Source organism: Homo sapiens, chromosome 14, assembly GCF_000001405.40.
Source record: "Homo sapiens chromosome 14, GRCh38.p14 Primary Assembly".
NCBI lineage: Eukaryota > Metazoa > Chordata > Mammalia > Primates > Hominidae > Homo > Homo sapiens.
The window spans coordinates 57,854,165-57,879,156 of record NC_000014.9 but is presented as its reverse complement, the minus strand read 5'-3'; the positions used below and the strand labels follow the sequence as shown (position 1 = coordinate 57,879,156).

At 40.6% G+C, this 24,992-nt stretch overlaps 1 protein-coding gene across 13 annotated transcripts in view; it reads left to right on the top strand.

Moving 5' to 3' along the window:
- Positions 1–24,992, top strand: part of SLC35F4 (solute carrier family 35 member F4) — a 419,262-nt gene that overhangs the window by 104,025 nt on the left and 290,245 nt on the right. For 4 of the 13 annotated variants that reach the window (NM_001206920.2, NM_001306087.2, NM_001352014.2 and 1 more), the window contains exon 1: positions 13,065–13,434. The exons of 1 other annotated variant lie outside the window; for it this stretch is intronic. In NM_001206920.2, coding sequence (NP_001193849.1) covers positions 13,332–13,434 — 103 coding nt within the window. In that variant the 5' untranslated portion in view covers positions 13,065–13,331. Of the gene's footprint in view, positions 1–13,064; positions 13,435–13,479; positions 13,597–14,157; positions 14,371–24,992 lie in introns of those variants that run through there. 8 more of the 13 variants (NR_159376.2, NR_159375.2, NR_159374.2 and 5 more) reach the window with 3 other exon arrangements.

Genomic DNA, 24,992 nt, shown 5'->3' with positions numbered 1-24,992 from the left:
CTACTTTAGAGTTTTTCCTGCACTAAAATTCTGATCATGTTCTAAGGGCATAAAATATTGGGGCCGCAATTACCCATATGTTCCTCTTTAGAAGTGGATCATGACTTGTTTTCTGAGGAAAATTTTGGCCCTGCCTGGATGGAGATGGCAGAGATGGTATGTCCTTCAATATGGGCCCAAGTGCTGGTTTGTCAATGTTCATAAGACAACATCAAAACAATACCTTTATACTTGTTGTTTCTTAAAGAAGGTAAATAGATCTTCCTTGAAGGAGTGACATAGAACATTTGGCTCCAAGGACTTGTCTTTGATAACCAGTATTAATGAATTAATCAACTAATTTTGGAAATATCTATGAAGTGCCTACTCTGTGCCTGGCACTATACTAGATGTTGGGAATACAATAGTGAACAACAACAATAAAAAAAAATGCGGTTGTCCTTGTTGTATTTACAGTCTAGAGAGGGAAACAGACAAATAAGGACTTTCTTGATGAAGCAGCTTCTTGGTTGAGATGTGAAGGAAAAGTCCCAGACAAGGCAGGGGGCAAAGAGTTGAGGGAGAGAGTGTTCCAGATAGAGGGAACAGCATGTATAAAAATCCAGAGGTGAGAAAGCCCATAGCTTTTTCAGAGATCTCAAAAGAGTTCATTCAGGAATTTAGAATGAGGGGAGTAGTCACAGAGTTGAGGTTGGAGATGTAGACTGGGACCAAAGTCTGCAGTCAATCATTAGGGGTGTGGGATTCATGCTAAGAGTCCTGTTGAACCATTCAGTTGTTTAAGCAGAAGTTTGTTATTGAGGAAGCAGGTTGGCTATGGTTAGAAAAACAAATTAGAATAGGAAAAGATCAGATAGAAAGTTGTGTGGTAATCCAGGCTAAAAGAAGGGTCATACCAGCCTACAGAATGGGAGAAAATACTTGCAAACTATGCATCCAACAAAGGTCTAATATCAAGAATCTATAAGGAACTTAACAAGCAAAAAGCAAACAGCCCCATTAAAAATGGGCAAAGGACATGAACAGGCATTTCTCAAAAGAAGACATACATGCAGCCAACAAGCATATGAAAAAATGCTCAATATCACTAATCATTAGAAAAATGCAAACCCAAAACCACAACGAGATACCATCTCACATCAGTCAGAATTGTTATTAAAAAGTCAAAAAATGGCTGGGCATGGTGCCTCATGCCTGTAATCCCAGCACTTTGGGAGGCTGAGTCAGGATGATCACCTGAGGTCAGGAGTTCAAGACCAGCCTGGCCAACATGGTGAAACCCCATCTCTGCTAAAAATACAAAAATTAGCCAGGTATGGTGGCATAAGCCTGTAATCCCATCTACTTGGGAGGCTGAGAGAGAAGAATAGCTTGAACCCAGGAGGCAGAGGTTGCAGTGAGCTGAGATCTGCCACTGCACTCCAGCCTGGGTAACAGAGCAAGACTCCATCTCAAAAAAAAAAAAAAAAAAAAAAAAAAAAAGTCAAAAAATAACAGATGCTGGCAAGGTTGTGGAGAAAATGGAACACTTATATACTACTGGTGGGAATGTAAATTAGTTAAGCCACTGTTGAAAGCAGTTTGGCAATTTCTCAAAGAACTTAAAATAGAACTACCATTTGATTGAGCAATCCCATTACTGGGTATATACCCAAGAGAATATAAGTTGTTCTATCATAAAGAACATGCTTGTGTATGTTCATTGCAACAATATTCACAATAGCAGACATGGAATAAACCTAGATGGCAATCAATGGTCGACTGGATAATAAAAATGTGGTACACATGTATCATGGAATGCCACAGAGTCATCAAAAAGAACAAGATTATGTCTTTTGCAACAACATGGATGGAGGCTATTACCCTAAGTCAATTAACACAGGAACATAAAACCAAATGCTGCATGTTCTTACTTACAAATGGGAGCTAAATACTGAATATACATGGACACAAAGAAGAGAACAATAGACAATGGAGCCTGCTTGAGAGTGGACGGTGGGAGGAGGGAAAGGATTGAAAAACTGCCTATCAGGTACTAGGCTCATGACCTGGGTAACACAATTATCTGTACCGTGAACCCGTGTGACACGCAGTTTACCCACGTAACAAACCTGCACATGTACCCACTGAACCAAAAATACAAGTTGGAAAGAAGAAAAAAAAAAGATGGGTCACCTGTCCTTGGGTAGCTGAGCTGAAAAAGGAGAGAAAAAGACCTATCGGAAACTATCTACAGGATTTGCTGCTATTTACCAGTTCCTCATTAGGAATAATCATTTACAGAGACTTCCCTGAAGGATAGGTAGCCCACTAGTCTTTAAACCTGGGTTTTAGATTAGTTAAGAATAAGGGGTCCCTGATCTGAAGTGCATATACTTTGTATATATCCAATGTTGCTGCTGTGTTTAATTGTAAATTGAGATTTTAGATGAAAATTTATGAAAATTTAAGAATTTTTCTTCACTTATTAAGCAAAAACATGCATTTCTCAATCCATTCTCAAGATTATAACTTGAACACAACCAACTTCTTCAATCTTAAGCTCGACAGTGATGTTTTTGTTTTTATAAGAAGTAACTTATTTTCACCTAGTAATTCTGTAATTTTTATATGGCAGAATCTTTGAGTATTTGGTTGCAAATAGACATTCTAAAAATATAAATGTGGTTATATTGGGCTAGTCTTTTTCTGAGTCACAGAAATAACTCCCTCGCGCTCTCATTTTTTTCAGCAGCCAGGTTTTGTATTATACACAAGAAATATGAATTTAAAAGATTTATTCATGTCCCTAAGAAAGTAGAAATATAGCAGAGATGGAAGGCAATCAGATCTTCACTCTGTAGTGTGATAAATGCCCCCACAAAGGGTAAGCACAAAGGGTAAGTTAGAATGCCGTAACTTTACAGGTTTCCCTTTTCATCTTGGTTGTGGGAACAGCCCTGCTATGTGAAACTTACTGCATTGCTTTGTTCTATGTCTGATTGTACCAACATTATGCAGACCCAGCATGTGTGGGTGTCTGACTCCTTCCTCCCCATTTTGAAGTCAAAAGGTTTGGAATTACATGTCATGCAAAAGGTTGCAGTTTCTATTCAGACCAAATCTCGTTGTTGCAGGTAACCTTTTAATGCCAGATTTTGCTTAATGAAGTTACTTCCACATTGCTTCTGTTAACCCATGGTTGGAAGATTGCTTTGCTAATCTAGAACCCAGGAATTCTATCAAAAGACACATTCTGCAGAAAGGACATTCTCATCAAGTCTCTGATCAATCTGCTTAACAACATTGGCATTGATTTACATTAGTTGGATGTAGCAGAATCCAAGAATGGCCACAATTGTTTGCAGCAATCTCACCACGAGGCAGAATCCATTTCTCCACCTAATCAATCTGAGTTAACCTGCAACTTACTTTGGCCAATAGAATATGAAAGAAGCAAGTTCTGAGTCTAGGCCTCAAGAGGCTTTGCATTCTTAACTCTTACTCTTGGAATTTTGCTGCTGTCATGAATAAGCCTGGACTGAACTGCTGGGTCATGAGATATGTGGCCCAGTTATCCCAATCTCCCATCCACTAGACGTGTGAAAGAGCCTATCCTATTCAGTCCCCAGCTGATCTACCTGCTGACCACAAATGCATAAGCAAGCCCATCCAGGATCAACCAAGCCTGGCCAGATTAGTAGAACCATGCAAGTGACTAATAGTTCATGAGAAGTAATAAATGGTTGTTATTTTAAGCCACTAAGGTTTGGAGTTGTTTGGTATGCAGTAAAAGCTAGACAATAACACTACTATTTTGACGTTACTGCCGTGGTAGTAAGTCCTAGTGAATTTCAGAGCAGAGTAGGATGAAGAAAGGAAGGAAATTAGAGAAAAAGAAAGAAGATAGCATGTGCTTATCACCTTTGCATGCCCAGCTGATGATTTCTTTACCTGAACCAATGAAGAAACAAGTAAACAAGTCTCCTGAATATTTCAGTAGGAGATTACACATAAAGAGGAGATTCAAATCTCTAAATTAATTATAATTCACAAAAGATTTATCAAATTGAGCCCATGCTATGAATGGCAGTGAATGTTGACAATGTCAATTCCATAATAAGAAAAAATATATAATTCCATCCATTTACTCTTATCTAAAGACACCATGAAATCATTTATTTATTTATTTATTTATTTATTTATTCCACTGCCTCTTCCAAAAGATTAGGAGTAACAGTTGACAGATTGGATAAGTAGTCAGTTACTGATTACACCAGAAACATAACTCACACAAACTTTGGAAAATAGACATCGTCTTGGATTTAAATTTAACAGAACCCTTGATGGGCATTCCTTCTGTCTACCAAGCCCAGGGCTCAGCCAGAGGAAGACAGAAAGAAGGATAAGAAGAGAAGCATATGGTCTGATTTGGAAAGGTGGTGGGGAGGGATGGCAACATGAGTAGATTTGATTTGATTGCACATAAGGAGCAGTTAGAAAGCCACATAGCCGAAGATGGCATTGCACAGGGTCAGGGGAAAGATGATCCACTGAGAGTGAGAAGGGCTTCCAGAGACTCATCGAGGGGCCTCTGAACCATCTGTTTAGCCCTCTAGCCTCAGTTTCCTTCTTTGTAAACTTTGCACTGGGCAAGTTATTACATTTCTGGTCCTGAGACAAGTCAACCTATCTTGAGTGTTTGTGCCTTGCTCGTACTTTGAGAAAGTGATCCTAGGCTTCTGATGAAAACTTTTGTTTGTTACAATGATTTCTTCAACCTTTAATGTGTTTTGATTGCCTGGTATGTGACAGGTACTCTGAGAAGCACTGGTCATACCTTGGTGAACAAAATGCAGTCACCACCTTTGAGGAACTTAAGTATGCACTGTCGAGAAGATTACACAGCAGGGAAAGAGCTATTATGGAGCAAATACCTGGCTCCTCCAGGAAGGAGGATGGGGTTAGCAGAGAAGCCTTCCCAGAGAAGAAAATCCTTTTGAAACAGCTGAGGGAGGAGTAGTAGTAGTCAGATGAAGATGCATTTGTAGGGACTGTCCAAGCATGGATGTTCTTATCACTTGGCTCCACTGCATAGAAGCAAGTAATACTGATGTCCAAATAACTGTACTTAGAGCACTTTATTAGCTTAAGAATGTAAACATTTTAGGGCTACTTTGAGATTTTACAAAACTTTTTATGTGCTTGTTGTCATGGAGCCCTGTTTTATTATTTATGAGAACATGGAAAGACAGAAGAATTAGAGACCTTTAGTCAGGCTTCATCACATTCCATGGAAAGGAGATAATTGCGATTGCTAAAAAGATGGTGTGCAGGCAGGCGGCACACTCCAGCACATTGCACATAAAACAAGCCATGCTGGAGAATAAAGATCTGGGAAAGGGTTTCAGGGTTTGTCATGTGTGTGTGTGTGTGTGTTTGTATTCACTTTAATATTAGCAAATTATATTTCAGAACACTTGGAAAATGGAAGATTACTTATAATTTCACTCCTCTTATCACCATTTTTTGAATTTTGAGTATCTTAACTATTTTCCCCCTGCATTAAAAAATATGTAATTGTAGTAGACATCCGTATACAATCTAGAATTCTGATTTTTTTCACCACTTAATATTAGAACATAGGATTTTTCTCATCACTTTGTAGTCTTCATAGCAATAGCCATAATTTTAATATCTAAAGTGTATTCTACCCAATGGATACATTGTGATTTACTAAACCATTTTCCTATTTTTGGGACATTTGAGTTGATTACATTATTTTATTATTACCAGTGATGCTATGATGAATACCTGGGTGGCATAGGAATATGGAACTAGTAGAGACTTTAAATGTTACTTGAGGCTCTTTTCCCCCTTGGCGTTCAGAAGAGGACTTTGTTTTTTTCACAGCACAACTGGAGAGGTGCCAGCAAGATAGACTATAATGCAATTGACCCTTCGTGGGATAATGCTATGGGGTAGCCAGGGGGACATACGAAGTTCTGTTATACATTTATGGATTACAGGGGAGAATCAAACCCATAATTTCCACAATGGAAATATTTAACTTGAGGTTTATACAGCCCGTATCACTGAAACGGACAATGGAAAATGTGGCTGCAACTACTGTTACAGCTGCTGATATCCATTGCAGACATGGCCCAGGATTTCTCCACTTGGCTTCCCATTCAAAATTTGGAATGGATGCTGTGATTGGTGGAGCAGGGGTATGTGCCAGTGACCAAGTGAGGAGACTGGGAAAATTGGCATCTTAACCTGAGCTCTTCAGAAAAGAGAGCCTGAGGCAGAGGCAGGGTTTTATGTACTGGTGTATACATATGAGGGCATGTGACTGAGCTGACCATAGTTTAGCATGAAGACTGAGCAGTCTGACTAGTTGCACGATCTTGTGGGCAAGAGGCTGCAAAAGTGACAGCTTCTCAGGGAAGTCCATTCAGAATGGAATGGAGAATTTATACCCTAGCTCCTGTTTCCCATTGTCACAGGTTTGCCCAGTGTTACATCTGTCCCCTGCACTTTCAGGTTGTACGTGCTTGAGCCAAGCAAATGCATTTTCATGTCTCAGCACCAACAAGGAAATGCTGGTGCAGGAGGTTAGAGGTGCCCAGCATTGGCATGAGGTGAGGTGCTGTCAGGCTGTGTCTAGGTGAATCAATGACAATCCATACAGGGTGGTCACTGCAAAGGTGAGACAAAAGAAAATGAATTGGAGCATAAAAGTTATTTGGTGCGATCTTTTTAGCTTCTCTCTTGAAATGTATGCTCTTTCTGTCAGGAGCCTCCTCTCACATCAGCTGGGTACTAAAAAAAAAAAAGGATGAATGTCCACTTTGGTACCTCTGTATTATTTCAGGGCATTTAAAAAGCAAGTTCTACTGATGGGAATCACAGATACTGAAAATAATGATGAAATAAAACCTTGTGAATATATTTCCTGCAGATTAATAGTTCTTGAAATTAAAGACAAAGTCATTTCTGAAATTGCTTTTGGCAATAGTACTCATTCAAGATGTGGATGTATTGAACGTGTATTCTGGAGTCTGTGTTTTATGGATGCATTCTAACGAGTTTCAAATTTTGTGTTCTCTCTGGTTCTCTGTGCCACTCATAATGTTTCTTTCCAACAATTTGTTTTGTCTTCTCTATGATTTGTTGATGAATTGCTTCAAGAACTAGTGATCTTAGACATACATAGTATGTCTTTGGAAAACAAAGGACGAAGAGAATAGAACTTGAAAATTAAATGCAGTATTTATGGAAGGAATTAAAACTCTTCAATTACAGTTTTTAGTAACTTTACTTTGTATGTATCAGAGTCATCCTGAATGCTGATGGTCATGGGGCCAGAGGGAAAAAGAGAAAACCCTTGAGTGTCTAGTATTAGCTCTGACTGAGATGATAATTGCTTTTTTGTTCACAACCAGAATTAGTCACACAGCCCCACTACAACCACAAGGGGGCAGGAAGTGCAGTCCTGTGGTATGCCTAAAATGGGGGAGAACCATGACTATTTGGCAAACAGTAACAATGACTACCACAGCAGGGTTGGCATTTTTAGCAGTTAATGTTACAGAAAGCTTGTGTGACAAGTAATATGCAGCAGGTTTGAGGCTGTGGTGTGCATGGCATTTTTAGACGTTTAAATTACAGAAAGGCTTATTTGTAAAATGAATATGTAGCAGGTTTGAATGTATAACCACCAACACAGCTGTTCAAAAGGGTTTAAAAAAATCTTTATTTGCTTTAAATTACTGTAAATCTTACTCTGAGTCCCTATTCCTCATAAAAATAGTGGGAAATGCAATCTCAGTCTTGTTGGGGCTCCCCTGCTGCAGAGTTATGCAGTCAGGGGAGATCTTTGGCTTAGCTCAGCATCAAGGAGGTCTGATCTTCAGTCCACTGGGCACTGCTGAAATGTGCAATAGTCAAGCCCACATGTGATCCCTCTGGGGCTGGGGACTCTGCTGCTTCTGGACAAGCTGGGAGGCACCAGAATATCTGCTGAAGCTGGGAAGCCTAATGGCTAATGGGCCTGCCTCCCATGGGGCATCACACTATGATCCCTCTGAGGCTGCTCCACTTCACCAAGCAGGACCTGAGTGCCTCCCACACCTGGGGATTAACAGCCTCGGTCCCTTTCCTAGTATGAAGTAAACTCTTCCTGTGCTCATGCTTCCTTAAAGGACAAGAAGAGCTGCTGATCTTGAGCAGCTTCTCTTTCTGCAAAGCACTGAACTTCTGAAGCCACTTATTCCATTGGCACACAAGGTCTGCCTCACGTGATCATTACCCATGGTTGAAAGAATTAAAGGAGACCTGTAAAAGCAATTGCCACAGTGAAGCTCCAAGAGTGTGAATGGAGAGTGAAAGTGTAAATCAACTTCAGTAAAAAACAATGGACAGAGCAGGGGCAGGGCTAGGAGAAGAAAATTAATATTTATTGTGTACCCACGATGTGCCAGGCCTTCGTAAAATATTTTAATATGTGATCTCACTTAACCATCACAGCAATACTATGAAATAGAGAGTATGAGCCCATTTTACAGAGGAGGAAACTGAAGCTCAAAGCGTTCTATGTCTGCATAAAAATAGTACTGATAGCTAATATATATGATGCTTACTATATGCCAGTCACAGTTATAAGATCTTTATGGGTATAAACTCATTTATTTCTCATGATAGTTCCACTATATAGGTGTATATTTCTATTTTAGAGATGAGAAAATTGAGTCATAGAGATTTCAAAAGATTTACCCAAGGTCACGCAGCTAGAAAATGATGAGGTCAGAAATGACTCCTGGCAGTCTGCTCCAAAGTCCGTGCTTTAAACCACTGTGCTGTACTGCCGAGTACAGTATAATGCTGTAGGGAGAAGGAGAAAGAGAAAGACAGAGACAGAGAGAAACATACAGAGAGATAGACAGACACACACAGACTCAGAGAGACAAAGACAGAAAAACAGACCGAGAGAGAGGGAGACACAGGGAGAGACACAGACACACACACACACACACACACACACACACACAGATCATAGACAAATTCTAAAATTTGAATATATATGTTGAAATTACTTAAGACTTTCTCCAAAGAGGTTCAGTGCCTTTCCAAAGAGTTGAGCCTCAAAATTAGTCCTGGGATGCAGCCTGGCACCTGAGGCCAATGAAGAGTGGACTCTGCCCTGTCTTCTCATACAGACACCCAGCCCCTTTGAGCTGAAAGGTAAATTAGCAATGTCTGCCATTGCCTACTATTGAAACAGAAAGGCTGTGTCAGCATTCCAAATGGGGTGGCTGATGACTTGGCAGTTAAATACTCAAAACAACTTCCCTGAAAATGGAATATTAAGAGCATGCTTTTTCTTTCTCAGGTGCCATTTCTTATCACCTGGTTGGCTAGAAGCCAGATGCTTTTAAACACTAACACTGTTTAAATTTCTTGGGGTCAACTCTTTGTAAACAGTGCTGGTGTTTGTACAAAGTAACATTGGCCCTTGACTATAAAAGCTTAAAGATTCTTGGCTTTCCAAGCAGCCAAGTTACTTTTAGCCCAAGGAGATAGGTAAAATATACTAATTTCCCAGAGGGGAAAAAGATCATTTCCCCTTCTTTCAGCATCTTTCAGTGGTAACTTCAAATAGGTGAATAGAAAGATTAGGTGTCTTATTCCTGCCATAAAAAGACGACTAAAGCCCAGATTTTCTGATCCCTTTCTGCTAATTAAAGTACAGAAGACTAGATTCCATGGATTTTATTTTACTAACCCTTCCAAAGTGTATAGACTGATATGGTATTTTCAGACTGCTTATCTTTGAATAAAATTTATACCCAGTGATCATATTTAGTTTTAATGTTATTACTTGGTATAGCTATTCTAGCATCAGACACAAGGACTGTAAGTGATCATCCCATGAACTACTTTACAAATGATTTGGCTTTTTTTAAAAAAAAAAAAAACCACAACACGTGAATACCTAATTGTATACTCAATTAGTATAAATAGCTAATCTGATTTGATCAGATGATCAAAATCCATATGGCTCATATATCAAAACTCATCTGGGATCACAGATAGATACCCTCTGCTTGATGCATTAAAAAATTCCTGAAGAGCGCACAAAAAACAAATTTTGTTTTATAACAAATCGAATTATAATTTACAACTACTAGAGAAACTGGCTATGTGAAGGGCTATCATGATAAACTATTTTATGAATCAAATAATGACCTTCAATCTTCATTTATTAAGTTGTGTCTTTTCTTTATTCTTTCAGAATAGATTTGAGGCATACATTGCAACTCATAGTTTGTAAATTTGAATATTTGGGTTTGTGAAAACTGGTAGACTAAACATGCAAACATAAAAATGCTTTAAAAGTTATCCTTCCTTCCGCCGGGCACGGTGGCTCATGCCTGTAGTCCCAGCACTTTGGTGAATCACCTGAGGTCAGGAGTTCGAGACCAGTCTGGCCAACATGGTGAAACCCCATCTCTACTAAAAATACAAAAAAATTAGCTGGGCGTGGTGTCGGGTGCCTGTAGTCCTAATTACTCCGGAGGCTGAGGCATGAGAATCACTTGAACCCGGGAGGCGGAGGTTGCAGTGAGCCGAGATTGCACCATTGCACTCCAGCCTGGGTGACAGAGTGAGACTTTGTCTCAAAAAAAAAAAAAAATTATCCTTTCTTCAAAATAATTTCTGTAAATTGTTAATAACGTCTAAAATGACTATTGAAAGATTAAAACATCTTTTATCATATATGCCAAGAGTGTTCATGACTAGCAGAAATTTACCTTTGACTGTTTATCAATTTATAATTGTAGGATTTCAGTTCCTTCCATTAAAAGTGTGGCCTAGATTATAGCACTTGCTGGCATTTACTATTTTGGTCATCCTATTACAGATGATTATAGAGAGATTTGTAAGTGCTTTGCTATTTTAAAATTTATTTCCAGGTCAGTCTGAAAATTTTTACTTTTTCAAAAGAAAACATAGACTCTTGCGGGTATGTTTACATTGTAGTATTTAAATTTATGCTGAATTTACTGTTTATATGAATGATCAGATCCAGTTAAATACATTTTTATCTACTTCTATGGAGATTTATGAAAATAAAGCAAAAGCAGGAAGAAGGTAATGACTTACACGGTAATTGTTATTTATAATTTAAGTACATTAATTATGGCAAGATAAGTTATAAGCAATGGGAAAAACCACTTGTTTTTAAGTCTGCATATGTGTGTGTGTATGTATGTGTATACATATATATTCCTGTTACATCAGAAGGTTTTTGCTTGAATTGTTTCCTAATTTCTCTCTTACTGATATATATATTAATGTGCTATGGATTATGATGGCTATTATCAAAATATATAATATATGTAATATTGGAAAATTTATCTTTCATAGAAACTTCAAACAAAAGTGACATTTAAAATTATATGTGATGAACACATTTTACCATGTGCAATACATGCATTTGATATAATTTTGCCACAGAAATAATAAAACTAACAAAAGTGTGCTGAATATTATTTCACGTGGGGGGGGGTGTAAAGGCATAACGCTTTCATTTTTGCTTTATATGGCTAGCTCCCCATCACTGCACTAGTGTTGGTTTTTCCTTTTAGTTCCTTTTGACCTTTTAGCTCTTTCCACCCTTCCATCTTTCCTAGCCCAGAAAACAGGTGTAGGAGGAAATTGGTTTCTTTATGAACTCTCCTTCCAGCCACAATAATCTCAGATTGACTCCACTCTCAAGATCCCGTGCTAAGCTTTGTGTTTGGATGAAAACCCAAAACATATTGTAAAATTTAATATTGCGTTTTCATATGCTTAAACCTAATTTACCTTTTAGAAAAAAAATTTGCATATTTCTTCCTTCTTAAGGGCCCACACACAATGTGGAAAATGCTTGGAGGCAGGATGGTGTGATAGGTTCTCTGGAGGTTTCTGAGAGGGGCATTGAAGTCGACTTTTGTTTCTCTTTTTTTCTTCTCCCTAAGCTTTAGTAATATGAAACCTGGCAGGGATGTCTTAAGCCAGCTCTGCACGGAAGGTGGACCTAAATTGCCTCTAAGCTGATGAGCTGACCCTCCCCTCCACTAACCCTCCACCTCCACCTTTTCATTTCTGAGATGAAACTTTGAAAATTATTATTATTATTATTATTATTATTATTATTATTATTATTATTTGCAGGAAGCTGTGTCTGCAGACTATGAACAGAGGAATCGTCTCCACTGCTCACTGACCCTAACCCATTGGGTCTCTGGCTAAAGCAGAAGAGTCCCACACCTGAGGGGAGGGTGTTCGCTCTGAACACACAGCTTCAAGGATGTTCTGCTCTAATGGAAAGGCTCTAGACTGTAGCTAAGACTTTCACTCGTCCAGATATTTACAGTTTGAAGGACTTCCCTCCTGATATTTTTGGCAATAAAGGAGAAAATCATTTCTCCTCAGAGCATTTGAAATTGGAAAAATAAACGTGCTGTGTGCAGCTGAATCTTCTAAGCCTTTGACATTTTTCAGTGGCAGGATGGAGGGTCCGTATGGACAGTCAGACTTGAGCGCTTGAACACTTACAGTCTTTGCGTCTGCAAAACCTGGATAATCACTCCATATACCACCTGCCGGGAACTAATTTTCTTGTCATTTCATAAAAAAAGATTCCCAGTCTTCTAGACAAGTTGCAAGGACTGACTAACGCGGGGGAATGCTTGCATATCAGCAGACCAGAGGTGGTGTAGACGCCAAGCGTGGACCGAGTCCCGGGGCGCCCCAGAAGTGTCTTCTCCCCGAGCGACAGAGTTAATGCCTCGCATTAACAGCTATGAGTCCCTCTTGGGTTTCTCCCACTCCCAACACCCTTCTCTGAGCCCCTGGCCACCGTCGCCTTCTCCTCTCGCGCCCCACTGACCAAACATCCCTTTCATCAGGTGGGGTTGGGGTGTCTAGTTTTCGGGAAGGATCGCGCAAGGGTTAATGATGAAAGCTGGCGACCAGGTGGGGCGCCCACACCCGCCCCCGGCCACGGTGGGCGTCGGAGGTGAGGGGGCGCTATTCGGGCAGCAGTGCTCCGGGTGGCGCGCGGGAGAGCTGCCAGGCTGACGGAGAGGCCGGCCCGAGTGGGGGCCGCTCCGCCGCCGCCGCCGCCGCCGCCGCTGTGATGCGGAGCCGGTGCTGCGCCGGGCGGTGGAGTCAGAGCCCGGGCGCGGGAGCAGGAGCTGCAAGATCAGCACCAGCGGCTCCGGCACCTGCACCAGCTCCCGGGCCCCGCGCTGCGCTCTCCGCCCCGCCGCACTCGGGGCCGTCGCCCCGCGCTCTCTATGGATGTCAAGGCGGCCCCCAACGGGGTGGCCACTATCGAGGACCGGATCCTGCGGATCACCGGCTACTATGGCTATTATCCAGGTTACTCCAGCCAGAAAAGTAAGACGCCGCGCGGCTGCCCTGCGCGAGGCGGGGAAGGGAGGTGGGCGCGCAGGGGTGCCGCGGGGATGCGGACGGGCGGGCGCGCGGTACGGACACCTGCAGCCCTGCGGACGCTGTCAACACCGCCTTCCTGGCGGCGGGGACCCCCCGGGGAGAAAAGTATGTCCGCTGTCCTCGGTGCTGAACCGTGAGAGGGCAAGGGGCCCGGCTGGGTGCGCCCAGGAGTTTGGAAACAGTCGTAGCCTTGGGGGGAGGTGCGGAGGGGACCTGGTGAGCGCTCCTGACCGCCGTTGGCCGGCTCACCCTGGTGGATTTACGCCCGGAGGAGGCTAACATGGCTGTTCACTTAGCGGAAAGTCAGCCCTAGGGGATACATGCCCCGAAAGCCCCTACTGCGTGCGGGGCGCTGGGGACGCAGGCTGGGGAGGCTCGGGGGTGGGGCTGGCGGGGGCGGCCGACCCAGACGTGGGTCCCGGCGCTGGTGGGGTCAGCTCGTTCACTCCGGGCTGTTGAGACGCTGCCAGCGCGGGAGTTACTCCGGTTACAGTATCTTTAGGAGGTTCTTCACCCTGGGAAGAGAAAAGAACCTGCTCAGGTCTCCGAGCCCCAGAGCTTGGAGCCAGAGACCCGTGCAAAAGACTGGGGGCGTGGGGGGGGGGGGTCTGAGAAGGGGAGGCGACAGGGCCACCCGCCCCCGCCGCACGTCGCGGTCACCGCTTTCTTCCAGCTAAGCGAGGTCATGCGGCGTGGATGCTTTCACGTTTTTGGACCAGTTTTGGTGGGAGGGCGATGAGGTGTGCTCTGCTCGCAGTCCCCCTCCCCCAGTACACAAACCCACTAGCTATATTTGCTGGGATTAGTTCTACTGGCGACTGAAGTGCAGCTCATTTTTCTTCGAATTGGAGGAGTAGCTGCGGTTTAGTTTCTATGCAGGTGGGCTTTCGCTTTTTTCTTTATCAATGCATTTCTGTTGCAACAGATGAAGCTTAATTGATGTTTTTGCCGTTATTGTTGTCAGAAGCTTGGAAGCTCCTAGATGCATTTCTGATACGTATTTTTCTATGACATTTGGGGTGCAATCAACATTACAGTTTCTGTGATGCGTGGGACCCACAAAAATTCCGGCACAAAGACAAGAAAACACTATTTTTTCATGTAACTTTCTCCCCTACCATGCTTCCTCTCTATTGAATAATAATTCAAGAGCTTTGTTCCATGGGCTGTTCTCACACAGATATTTTCTAGTTCGATATTTCATCTGGTTTCAGGAAAGGCCTATCTGATTTGGATGGTTTCTGTCTAGCTGTTTTTAGCATTAGGGGCTTAAATTATTCATTTTCCATACAAAAGTAATTATATAGTGTTAGAATTTTCTGGAAAGAAAATAACACACTGTGGAATGCCCTTTGAAGTACTATACACTCAAAAACTTCTCCTTTTTTATTGGCAAAGGATTTCTTTTTTAACCCTGGAAACATAAGTAAAGGAACTAATATATCTTGTGGAAATTACTTGACTTTCACCTTTGAATATTTTAATTAGGAACCATGGGATTTTAGTGGCTTAGAGAATGTAGAAGCTGTGTGTGAAATTACAAGACTCAGGGTGGTTTATTATTGTAATTTTTATGACAATGGAACTTTGGCTAACAATGAACAACCCAAAAAGAATACTGAAAAAGTGACATTTTAGATAAGAACATGTTCATATTATATTTTTGTACTTGCTCAAATAGCTGCACATGCTTCATTTGCAACACAATAACAGGACAAAAAAAGGGAAGAGCACTGGCCAAGGCTATAACTGGTAGCCAAAAGGGATAAAGATTAACTTGGCATGGTTATTTGTGATGGGCACTTACCTACCTAAGTTCAGACCGTAGAGTTAAAAGAGTGAAGGCAGAGAATCTCACAAGAAGAGAGAATTAAGTGATAGTCAGATAAATCTCAGGATGCTCATGCTTTCGGAAGTAGAGAAAGATTGCTATTTTGCACAGTGAGAGATTGAGAGAGGAGAAAGCTGGAGGAGGGCCAGGGAACCGAGCACCATGAAATAATCCTGTCCTAATGCAGGCTTCAACTAGTAAACAAACACACTGAAGCAAACCAGTACAATATGGTCAATTGATTTGGCTGTTACAGGGAATGAGCAACAGCTTAGGGGAAGTCTGGAAAAATATACTTAAGAAAAGGCTACAGTGATGAATATATAATATGTGAAAGCAAGGTGACTTTCTCATTTCCTGTCTGATCACATATGAAGGACAATCTCTAGATATCTATGCCATTTACCTTTTTGGAGATAGACGGGGACTTACCTCTAAGAAAATGCACTGAAGATCAAGCCTTCTGTTAATGCATCCTGCTGTTTGCTTGTACCTTGTTCAGAAAAAATTCTAGTAGTCAGGCTGATGCAAAAAAAGAAACATGATAGAATTCAGATAAATGAAGGTACTTTAATGGGCAATAGGGCATTTGTTTTATTTATCCTGTTCAATTAATGAACAGTTATTGAGTAAATATAAATAAGAAATCTGGATACAAAGATGATTAAAGGTGGGTGCAGTGGCTCATGTCTGTAATCCTAGCACTTTGGGAGGCCAAGGCAGGAGGATTGCTTGAGGCCGGGAGTTCAAGACCAACTTGACCAATGTAGTGAGACACTGTTTCTATATTTATTTAAACATTTTTTTTAAAAAAGATGATTAATGCATAGTGTGGTTACTTAGGTAGGGAATAGATTCATTCATTCAACAAGTGTTAATTGAGCACCTCCTATGTGTCAGGAGTACACCAATGAGCAAAACAGACAAAAGTATTTTCCTTTTAAGAACTTAAGTTCTAGTGGGAGCAAACAAGACAATAAAGAAATAAACAAGTACATAAATTATTTAGTATGTTTCAAGGTGATAAGTGCCTTTTGAAAAATTACAACAGGATAAAAAGGATAAAATATTCTGGGGGTAGAAATTATCACAATTTTAAATAGGCTCATCAGGGAAGTCCTCACTGAGGAAGTAACAATTCAGCAAAGACCTGAAGGATATGAGGGAGTTAGCCATATGGACATCCAGAAGAACACATTCTGGGCAGTGGGAATAGCTAGCGCAAAGATCTGAGGTAGAGTACAACTAGCATGCTGGAGAAACAGCAGGGAGGCCTGTATGGCTGAAGTGGAGTGAACAATTGGGAAAGTGGTTGGAGATGAGGTCACTGAGGATCCAGGAGTGCAGATAAAGGAGGGCCTTAGAGGTCATTGTCAATCCTTTGGCTTGTATTCTGAATGAAATGAGCATTTGAAGAGTTTTGGGAGAAGAGTGATGTGACTTATCTTACACAAAGATCAGTCTCACTGCTGTACTGGGACAGGGTGAAAACACCTAATTAGTATGTTATTGTGATAACGTAGGTGAGACATGATGGTGGCTTGAACCAGAGTTGTAGCACTAGAAGAAGAGAAAGGTGGTCAGAGTCTGCATATATTTGAAATTAGAGCCAATAGGGTACCCTGATAGATTGGATATGGTATCTGTAAGAAAGATAGGAGTAAAAAATGACTGCATCTTTTCTGGTTTGACTAAGTTTGAGTTGCCATCAGCTGAAGTGTGGAAGGTTTCAAGGTAGAGAAACTTTGGAAAGGGGTGGGGGGTGGATTGTCAGGGGATAAGGATAACGTTTTAGAGATACTAAATGTAATTGGAGATGTAGAGTAAGCTTAGAGTTCAGAGTAGATGTCTGATTGGAGATATAAATTAAGGATTTGCCAGTACTTGGGTGGTATTTAAGGCCTAAGACTGGATGAGACCTCCAAGGAATGAATGCATATAGAGAAGAGAAGAGGCAGAAGAATTGAATTTTGAGACATTCTGACATTAAGAGGTTCAGGAGAAGAAGAAAACCATCAAAGGAGATCAAGAAGGAGCATCCAGGGAGATAGGAGGAAAACCAGGAACATGTGTTACCCTGGAAGCCAGTAAATAAAGAGTTTGAAGGGGAAGAGTTTAGCTGAGTCCAATGCTATTGAAAGGTCAAGTAAAAAGAAGACCGATTGAATTTGACAATTAAAGGTCATGGGTGATCTTGACAAGAATGTTGACAAGAGCACATAAGGATAGATAAAATGGATTAGAATGTGTATAAGAGAGAATTAGAGGGAAGAATTGGAAACTGTGAGTATAGATGACTCTGCAAGGATTTTTGTGCAAAGGGGAGCAGAAGAAATGGAGGAAGCAGGCTCAAGAAAGTTTTTCTTTCTTTAAAGATTGGAGAAATAAGAGCAAGTCTGCATGCAAATGAGAATGATTCAATAGAGAAAGAAAAATTAATGAAGTTGGAGAGATAGTGTATGGAAACTAGTACACAAGAGAAGGGACATTGCCTTAGATAGGAACATGGATATAGGGTAAGGTGTGTGGGGCCCGTTTGGGAAAGTGTATAACTGAGATGGTGGGAGTCTGTTGAGGTTCTCTTCTGGTTGCTGCAGTCTTCTCCAAGTAGAAAGAGAGATCACCAAATGAGAGTGAGGATGGTGGAGGACATGGTAGAGGCTGGAGGATAGAGAAGGTATGAATAGTTAAAACAAATAGGGAGAGTGAATGGACTGGGGAAGTGCGCTCAGGTTGTCTGGCAGCCTTAAGGGTCCGTTTAAAGTTTTTGGTCACAAATTTAAAGTAAGACCAGCCAGTAGGTTGGCTCATTCATTAACACAGTAAAGGCATAGAACAAGTAGAGATAAGGATATAACCAGAGTTACAGATTATCCAATGGGTATTAAAAAATAGGGACAACGGAGTTGTATACAAAAGAGTTGTATTAATAAAATGATTGATCATGGAAATTAAACCTGGTAAGCAGAGAAGAGGAAATCTAGATAATTAGGGACAGGGAACAGATGGTAGGGTCCATGAATTAGAGGTCTCAGTAGAATCAAAGACTAGTGGAAGTTAGCTGGAAAGGTAGGAGGTGGTGGTTTGTATGCTATAAGAAATTTAATTCATTTCCATAAGTCAAATGAAAGGATAAATTCATTCATGTTTTATTGTATTCCATTATTGATATTTTTGGGGTGAGTATTCTTTTTTGTGTGTTTGTATAGGGAAACAGTGTGTTGATGTATGGTTGAATTAAACCCTAGTGGTTTGGAAATTAATTATATCCTTAAACCTGCCAGCAACTGGCTCTGAGACCTGGGACACCTCTTGGTGGACATGGATTTTCTTGTCTGTGAAAAAGAGAGTTGAAATCACTGTTTTAGAACAGCCATGCAGTAGGTCAGCTTTGACAGCTTTCCAAACAGTCCCACCTTCCCTGGAAAGGTATCAGTAAAGGAGTGCATTTACTTCGCCTCTCTTCACCCACCTTTGGTAAACAGTTGCCTCTCTTTGTTTTGTGCCTTTGTACCTGTTGGCCTTTTGTTTTTTCTATACTCCATTAGTGATCAGGTTCTATGATGGTTGTCTATTGGAAGCTGCAATTTGTAGTAAATATTTTCCCTTTTACTTGGGTACCAGCTCTGGTATCATCCCCATTTCAAAAAGAACTCTACCCGCTTCTGGCTCTCTTGGCTCTCTGGGTGCTTGGACGGCTGCTATGACTTAGCATTCCCCAAAGTTCTAGCTTCAGCTGTGTCCTCTCACTTTCTGCCTTCCCTGAGTGAGCTCATTTAATCCCATGGCATTACCATCTTTGGTGTGTCTGTAATTCTAGGCCCACTTTTTCTGAACCCACACCTGTATTTCAAAATTCCTTCGAACATTCTACCTGAATGTCCTCCAGTCATGTCACACATAAAACCAAAATCATCACTCTGTCCTTAAAATGTGCCTTTTCCTTCTCATTATGCATTTCAGCTTCTAATGTCTATATCAAACCAATTGTCCAAGCCAGAAACTCTGAGTTATCCTCAGCTTCTGCCCTTTCCCCTTGCCCTATAATCAGTTAATGAATCCTGTGCGTTTTACCCCAGATATGTGTTTTCCAGTCCTGCGATCACTGCCTTCTATCCATCGCATCTTTTGCCCAGCCTCAAGTCCTTCCAATCCAGCATACGCACCTTAAAAATATTTACTTCCCTACAGTGCAGATGTGTTCATCTCACACCCCTAATCAAATACCTGAAGTAATTTTTCACTTCTGTGGAATAAAGTCCAAATTACTTAGCATGCCACAATCTGAACCCAGCTTATATTGTTCTATTTTAGCACACATTTCTCCCCCCTACACCACAATCCTCTAATTGCCTAAGTAATACATGCTTAATGCAGAAAATCTGGAAGGCAGAGAGCAAAGGGAGATTAAAACAAAATTACTCATAATTCCACTACCAGAGATGATTAGTGTTAACATTTTGGTATATATCCTTTCAGTCTTTTTTATGCCCATGGACACACGCAAGTGGCTTTAATTTTGTACTGAACATTTATCTCGTTGGTCTATATTGTTTGTAATAACTTAAATTTTAGTGGATGCATATAGTCTTCCATATATGCGAGCACTTTAATCTACTTCGCCAATCACTAGTTGTTGAATTTTTAGTCCAGCTTTTCCTTTTATTTCTCTTGCTCTGTTTTCCTCCCTCTCTCTCTCTTCCTCCCCCTAAGCCCCCTTTCTTTTTAAGAGATAGGGTCTTACTCTGTCACCCAGGCTGGTAGTGCAGTGGTGCAATTATAGTTTACTGCAGCCTTAAACTCCTGGGCCCAAGCCATCCTCCCACCTCAGCCTCCTGAGTAGGACTACAGGTGCGTATCATCACACTCAGCTAATTAATTAATTTTTTTTTTTTTTTTTTAGAGATCAGGTTTTGCTATGTTGCCCAGGCTGGTCTCAAACTCCTTCAAGTGATCCTCCCACACCTCCCACCTCAGCCTCCTAAAGCACTGGGATTACAGGTGTGAGCTACTGCATTGGCCCAACTTTCCTTTTAGATCTTATATCCCATATGATCTTCGCACACTCTGGTCATAGTCTCATCATGCAGCTCATTGGTTCTTTTCTTTCTTTCTTTTTTTTATAGTAATTCTTTTTTTTCCTCCTTTTTTTAAAATTATACTTTAAGTTCTAGGGTACATGTGCACAATGTGCAGGTTTGTTACATATGTATACATGCGCCGTGTTGGTGTGCTGCACCCATTAACTCGTCATTTACATTAGGTATATCTCCTAATGCTATCCCTCCCCACTCCCCCAACCCCACAACAGGCCCTGGTGTGTGATGTTCCCCTTCCTGTGTCCAAGTGTTCTCATTGTTCAATTCCCACCTACGAGTGAGAACATGTAGTGTTTGGTTTTTTGTCCTTGCGATAGTTTGCTGAGAATGATGCTTTCCAGCTTCATCCATGTCCCTACAAAGGACATGAACTCATCCTTTTTGATGGCTTCATAGTATTCCATGGTGTATATGTGCCACATTTTCTTAATCCAGTCTATCATTTATGGACATTTGGGTTGGTTCCGAGTCTTTGCTATTGTGAATAGTGCCACAATAAACATACGTGTGCATGTGTCTTTATAGCAGCATGATTTATAATCCTTTGGGTATATACCCAGTAATGGGATGGCTGGGTCAAATGGTATTTCTAGTTCTAGATCCTTGAGGAATCACCACACTGTCTCCCACAATGGTTGAACTAGTTTACAGTCCCACCAACAGTGCAAAAGTGTTCCTATTTCTCCACATCCTCTCCAGCACCTGTTGTTTCCCAACTTTTTAATGATGGCCATTCTAACTGGTGTGAGATGGTATCTCACTGTGGTTTTGATTTGCATTTCTCTGATGGCCAGTGATGATGGCAGCTCATTGTTTTAATGACATTATTGTGCCCATGCTCTTTTGCTTCTCAGTGCTTTACTGCACTTTGGCCCCAGTGCTCCCTCTCTGTCTCCTTCATCACCCTGCAGAAAGCTCCTATTTATCTTTAGAAGTGCAGTTTAAATGTGCTGTCCTCTGTAAAGCTTCCCAAATGCCCCAGGCTGGCTAATCCTCCCTCTGTGCTCCTGTAATGCTGTGTATTCACCTCTGCTCCAGCATTTAGCACACTATTTTGGGCTTTTTGCTTTGCACAAAACTATCTCACCCATAGAGCTTGGGGAGAGCAGGGAATTTATCTTTATTTATTTTATTTTAGGCAAAGTGGTATATTTTGTTGCTCAATAAAGTTTATTGTGCTAACGAATGAAATATTTAGTTCCATTTGAAGAAATTAGAGAGATAATTATTTTCACACAGAAAAAGAAAGAGTACATGATGGTAGTAGTGATTAGAGAAAAAGAAAAAAAATACCAGCAATGAATGAATCAAATAGATGTACTTTAAAGAATGAGAATACACTAAATGGTGTTTTATGATCATTTTACCTGCCTGGTTGTAACTTCTGCATTTGTGCATCCTTACTTCCTTCTTAAGATTTTCTGTGCTTCAATGGGGGAAAAGGCAACTTTTTTTTTTTGAGATGAAGTCTTGGTGTGTTGCCCAGGCTGGAGTGCAATGGCATGATCTTGGCTCACTGCAACCTCCGCCTCCCAGGTTCAAGTGATTCTCCTGTCTCCACCTCCCGAGTAGCTGGGATTACAGGCATGCACCACCATGCCCAGCTAATTTTTGTATTTTTTAGTAGAGATGGGGTTTCACCATGTTGGCCGGGCTGGTCTCGAACTCCTGACCTCAGGTGATCCACCCGCCTCGTCTTTCCAAAGTGCTGGGATTACAGGCGTGAGCCACCGTGCCCGGCCAAGGAAAAGGCAATTTTTAAAAAACACAGAGTAGAATAAAGTTACTGAATCATAAGAAAGAAAATGTGGTTTCTCCTCTTTCTTCTTTTGAAGTTGTTAGTATTGATCTTCCTGGTACAATATTAATACTGTATAACTCTTATGCACTTTCACTGGAACAAGTTATGAAATTCTCTATTACTAGTGAAATAAGTGCAATAAATATCTATCCTTGTTCATATTATGTTTATACCCTGAGAGTAAGATTTGTGCCTCTTTATGTATGAGAGGAAGTGTTTTGTAAACAGTAACAAATAAGTACCATTAATATGTGGTTTTGAGAAGTATTTTGTAATATGGTTTTAAACTAGAACACATAAGGTCTATGTTAATACTAAATATCGTTGTATATGTTATTGATGGTAGATAGTGTGGTAGTTTTTACAGAGTTTATTCTGATGTGTATTTTGCATTTAAAATATAAATTTACATATAAACTGGATATTTGTAATGCAAAATACTACTTTCACTAGCTAATACTTGGATTTAACATTAAATTTTAGATGTACCTTATTTTGAAAGCCTATCTAAGACCTGGTTTGTGGCTACAAGGTCTAATGCAAAGACCACAAACTTTGGCAACAGAAAGACCTAGGTCTATACTCCTGCTATGCTACTTGCTAGCCATGTTTTTAACATACTTTAAGTTCTGGGGTACATGTGCAGAATGTGCAGTTTTGTTACATAGCTATACATGTGCCATGGTGGTTTGCTGCACCCATCAACCCATTACCTACATTAGGTATTTCTCCTAATGCTAGCTCCCCCACCCCCTGACATGCCCCCTGAGCATGGTGGTGCATGCCTGTAATCCCAGCTACTCGGGAGGTAGAGACAGGAGAATCACTTGAACCTGGGAGGCGGAGGTTACAGTGAGCCAAGACCATGCCATTGCACTCCAGCCTGGGCAACACAGCAACCCCCGACAGTGTGTGATGTTCCCTGCCTTGTGTCCATGTGTTCTCATTGTTCAACTCTCACTTATGAGTGAGAACATGTGGTGTTTGTTTTTCTGTTCTTGTGATAGTTTGCTGAGAATGATAGTTTCCAGCTTCATCCATGTCCCTGAAAAGGACATGAACTCATCCTTTTTGATGGCTGCATAGTATTCCATGGTTTATATGTGCCACATTTTCTTAAACCAGTCTATCATTGATGGACATTTGGGTTGGTTCCAAGTCTTTGCTAATGTGCATAGTGCCACAATAAATACACGTGTGTGTAAGTCTTTATAGTAGAATGACTTATAATCTTTTGGGTATATACCCAATAATGGGATTCCTAGGTCAAATGGTATTTCTAGTTCTAGATCCTTGAGGAATCGCCACACTGTCTTCCACAATGGTTGAACTAATTTACACTCCCACTAACAGTGTAAAAGCATTCCTATTTCTCCAGATCCTCTCCAGCACCTGTTGTTTCCTGACTTTTAAATGATCGCCATTCTAACTGGTGTGAGATGCTATCTCATTGTGGTTTTGATTTGCATTTCTCTAATGACCAGTGATGGTGAGCATTTTTTCATATGTTTCTTGGCTGCATAAATGTCTTCTTTTGAGAAGTGTCTGTTCATATTCTTTGCCCACTTTTTGATGGGTTTGTTTGTTTTTTTTTCTTGTAAATTTGTTTAAGTTCTTTGTAGATTCTGGTTATTAGTCCTTTGTCAGGTGGATAGATTGCAAAAATTTTCTCCCATTCTGTAGGTTGCCTGTTTACTCTGATGATAGTTTCTTTAACTTCCTCTCAGATCAACAGTTTTGTTCCTATAAAATGGGAATGATAATAGTTGCCTCACAGGTAGTTGAGAGGATTATGTAAGATAATGTTTATTGAGTGTCTGGAACAACATCCAGTTCAATGTATGGAAGCTGTTATAATTATGAGGAAATGAATAGAATCAGTTTTATGACTTCAAAGAACCATGCTCACTTTTTGCTTGTAAGTAAATGGCTTACCATTTATTTTTTGGTCATACCCATAATTGTATTTTAAATTGTTGTTATTAAAAATTATGCTACAGCAATTTAAACACAAGTATAAATTGTCCAAGTTCACAATGGTTTTTATTTTTGGTTGTTACTTTCTACTCTTTACCAATTTCTGGCTTGTCTAGTGCTAAAACAGAAAGGGACGGTTCTACCTGGATTGCCTCTTGGCATAGCTTATTTAAAATGGGCTGGAAGCCATCTGTGATGAGGTGATTCCAAATGGACTGAACTAAAAGAGATGAGGCAAATCGACAGCCAGTGAGTGGCAGAATGGGTCTACATGTCTGCAGATGCATGCAGGTACTCAGGCACCAAAATAGGGTGAAGTTGGGAGAGAGGTAGCAGGGAAAGGTGGAATCTCAGCTGAAGATGGATAGCTTGGGTAGGATGGGGTGAAGATGGGATAGTGAGGGCAAACAGGTGGGGAGGAAATGAAGGCTGAGGGTTAATTCGGGAATGTCCATTGGAAGTAGCATTGTTCCTTTCATACATGGAGTGTTAAAAAGACAGTTCTTTTTTTAGCTATGTATGTAGCCACAAATGTAACAGACAGCCTATTTTATGTTCTTTTTTTAAAAATATATCATTATGTTACAAACGTATTTACATGTTTCTACATAGTCTTTGGAGTTATAATTTTTTTTTAAAAATTATAAAGCATTTAACTACTTCAAGACACAGAGAAATATAAAGAAGAAGGGAAATAATCTTGTTACCCTAACACAAGTACTGTTATTTTGGTTAATTCCTTTCCAGTTTTCCTAAGGCATACAGGACTTCATTTCTTGATTTATTGAGAAAT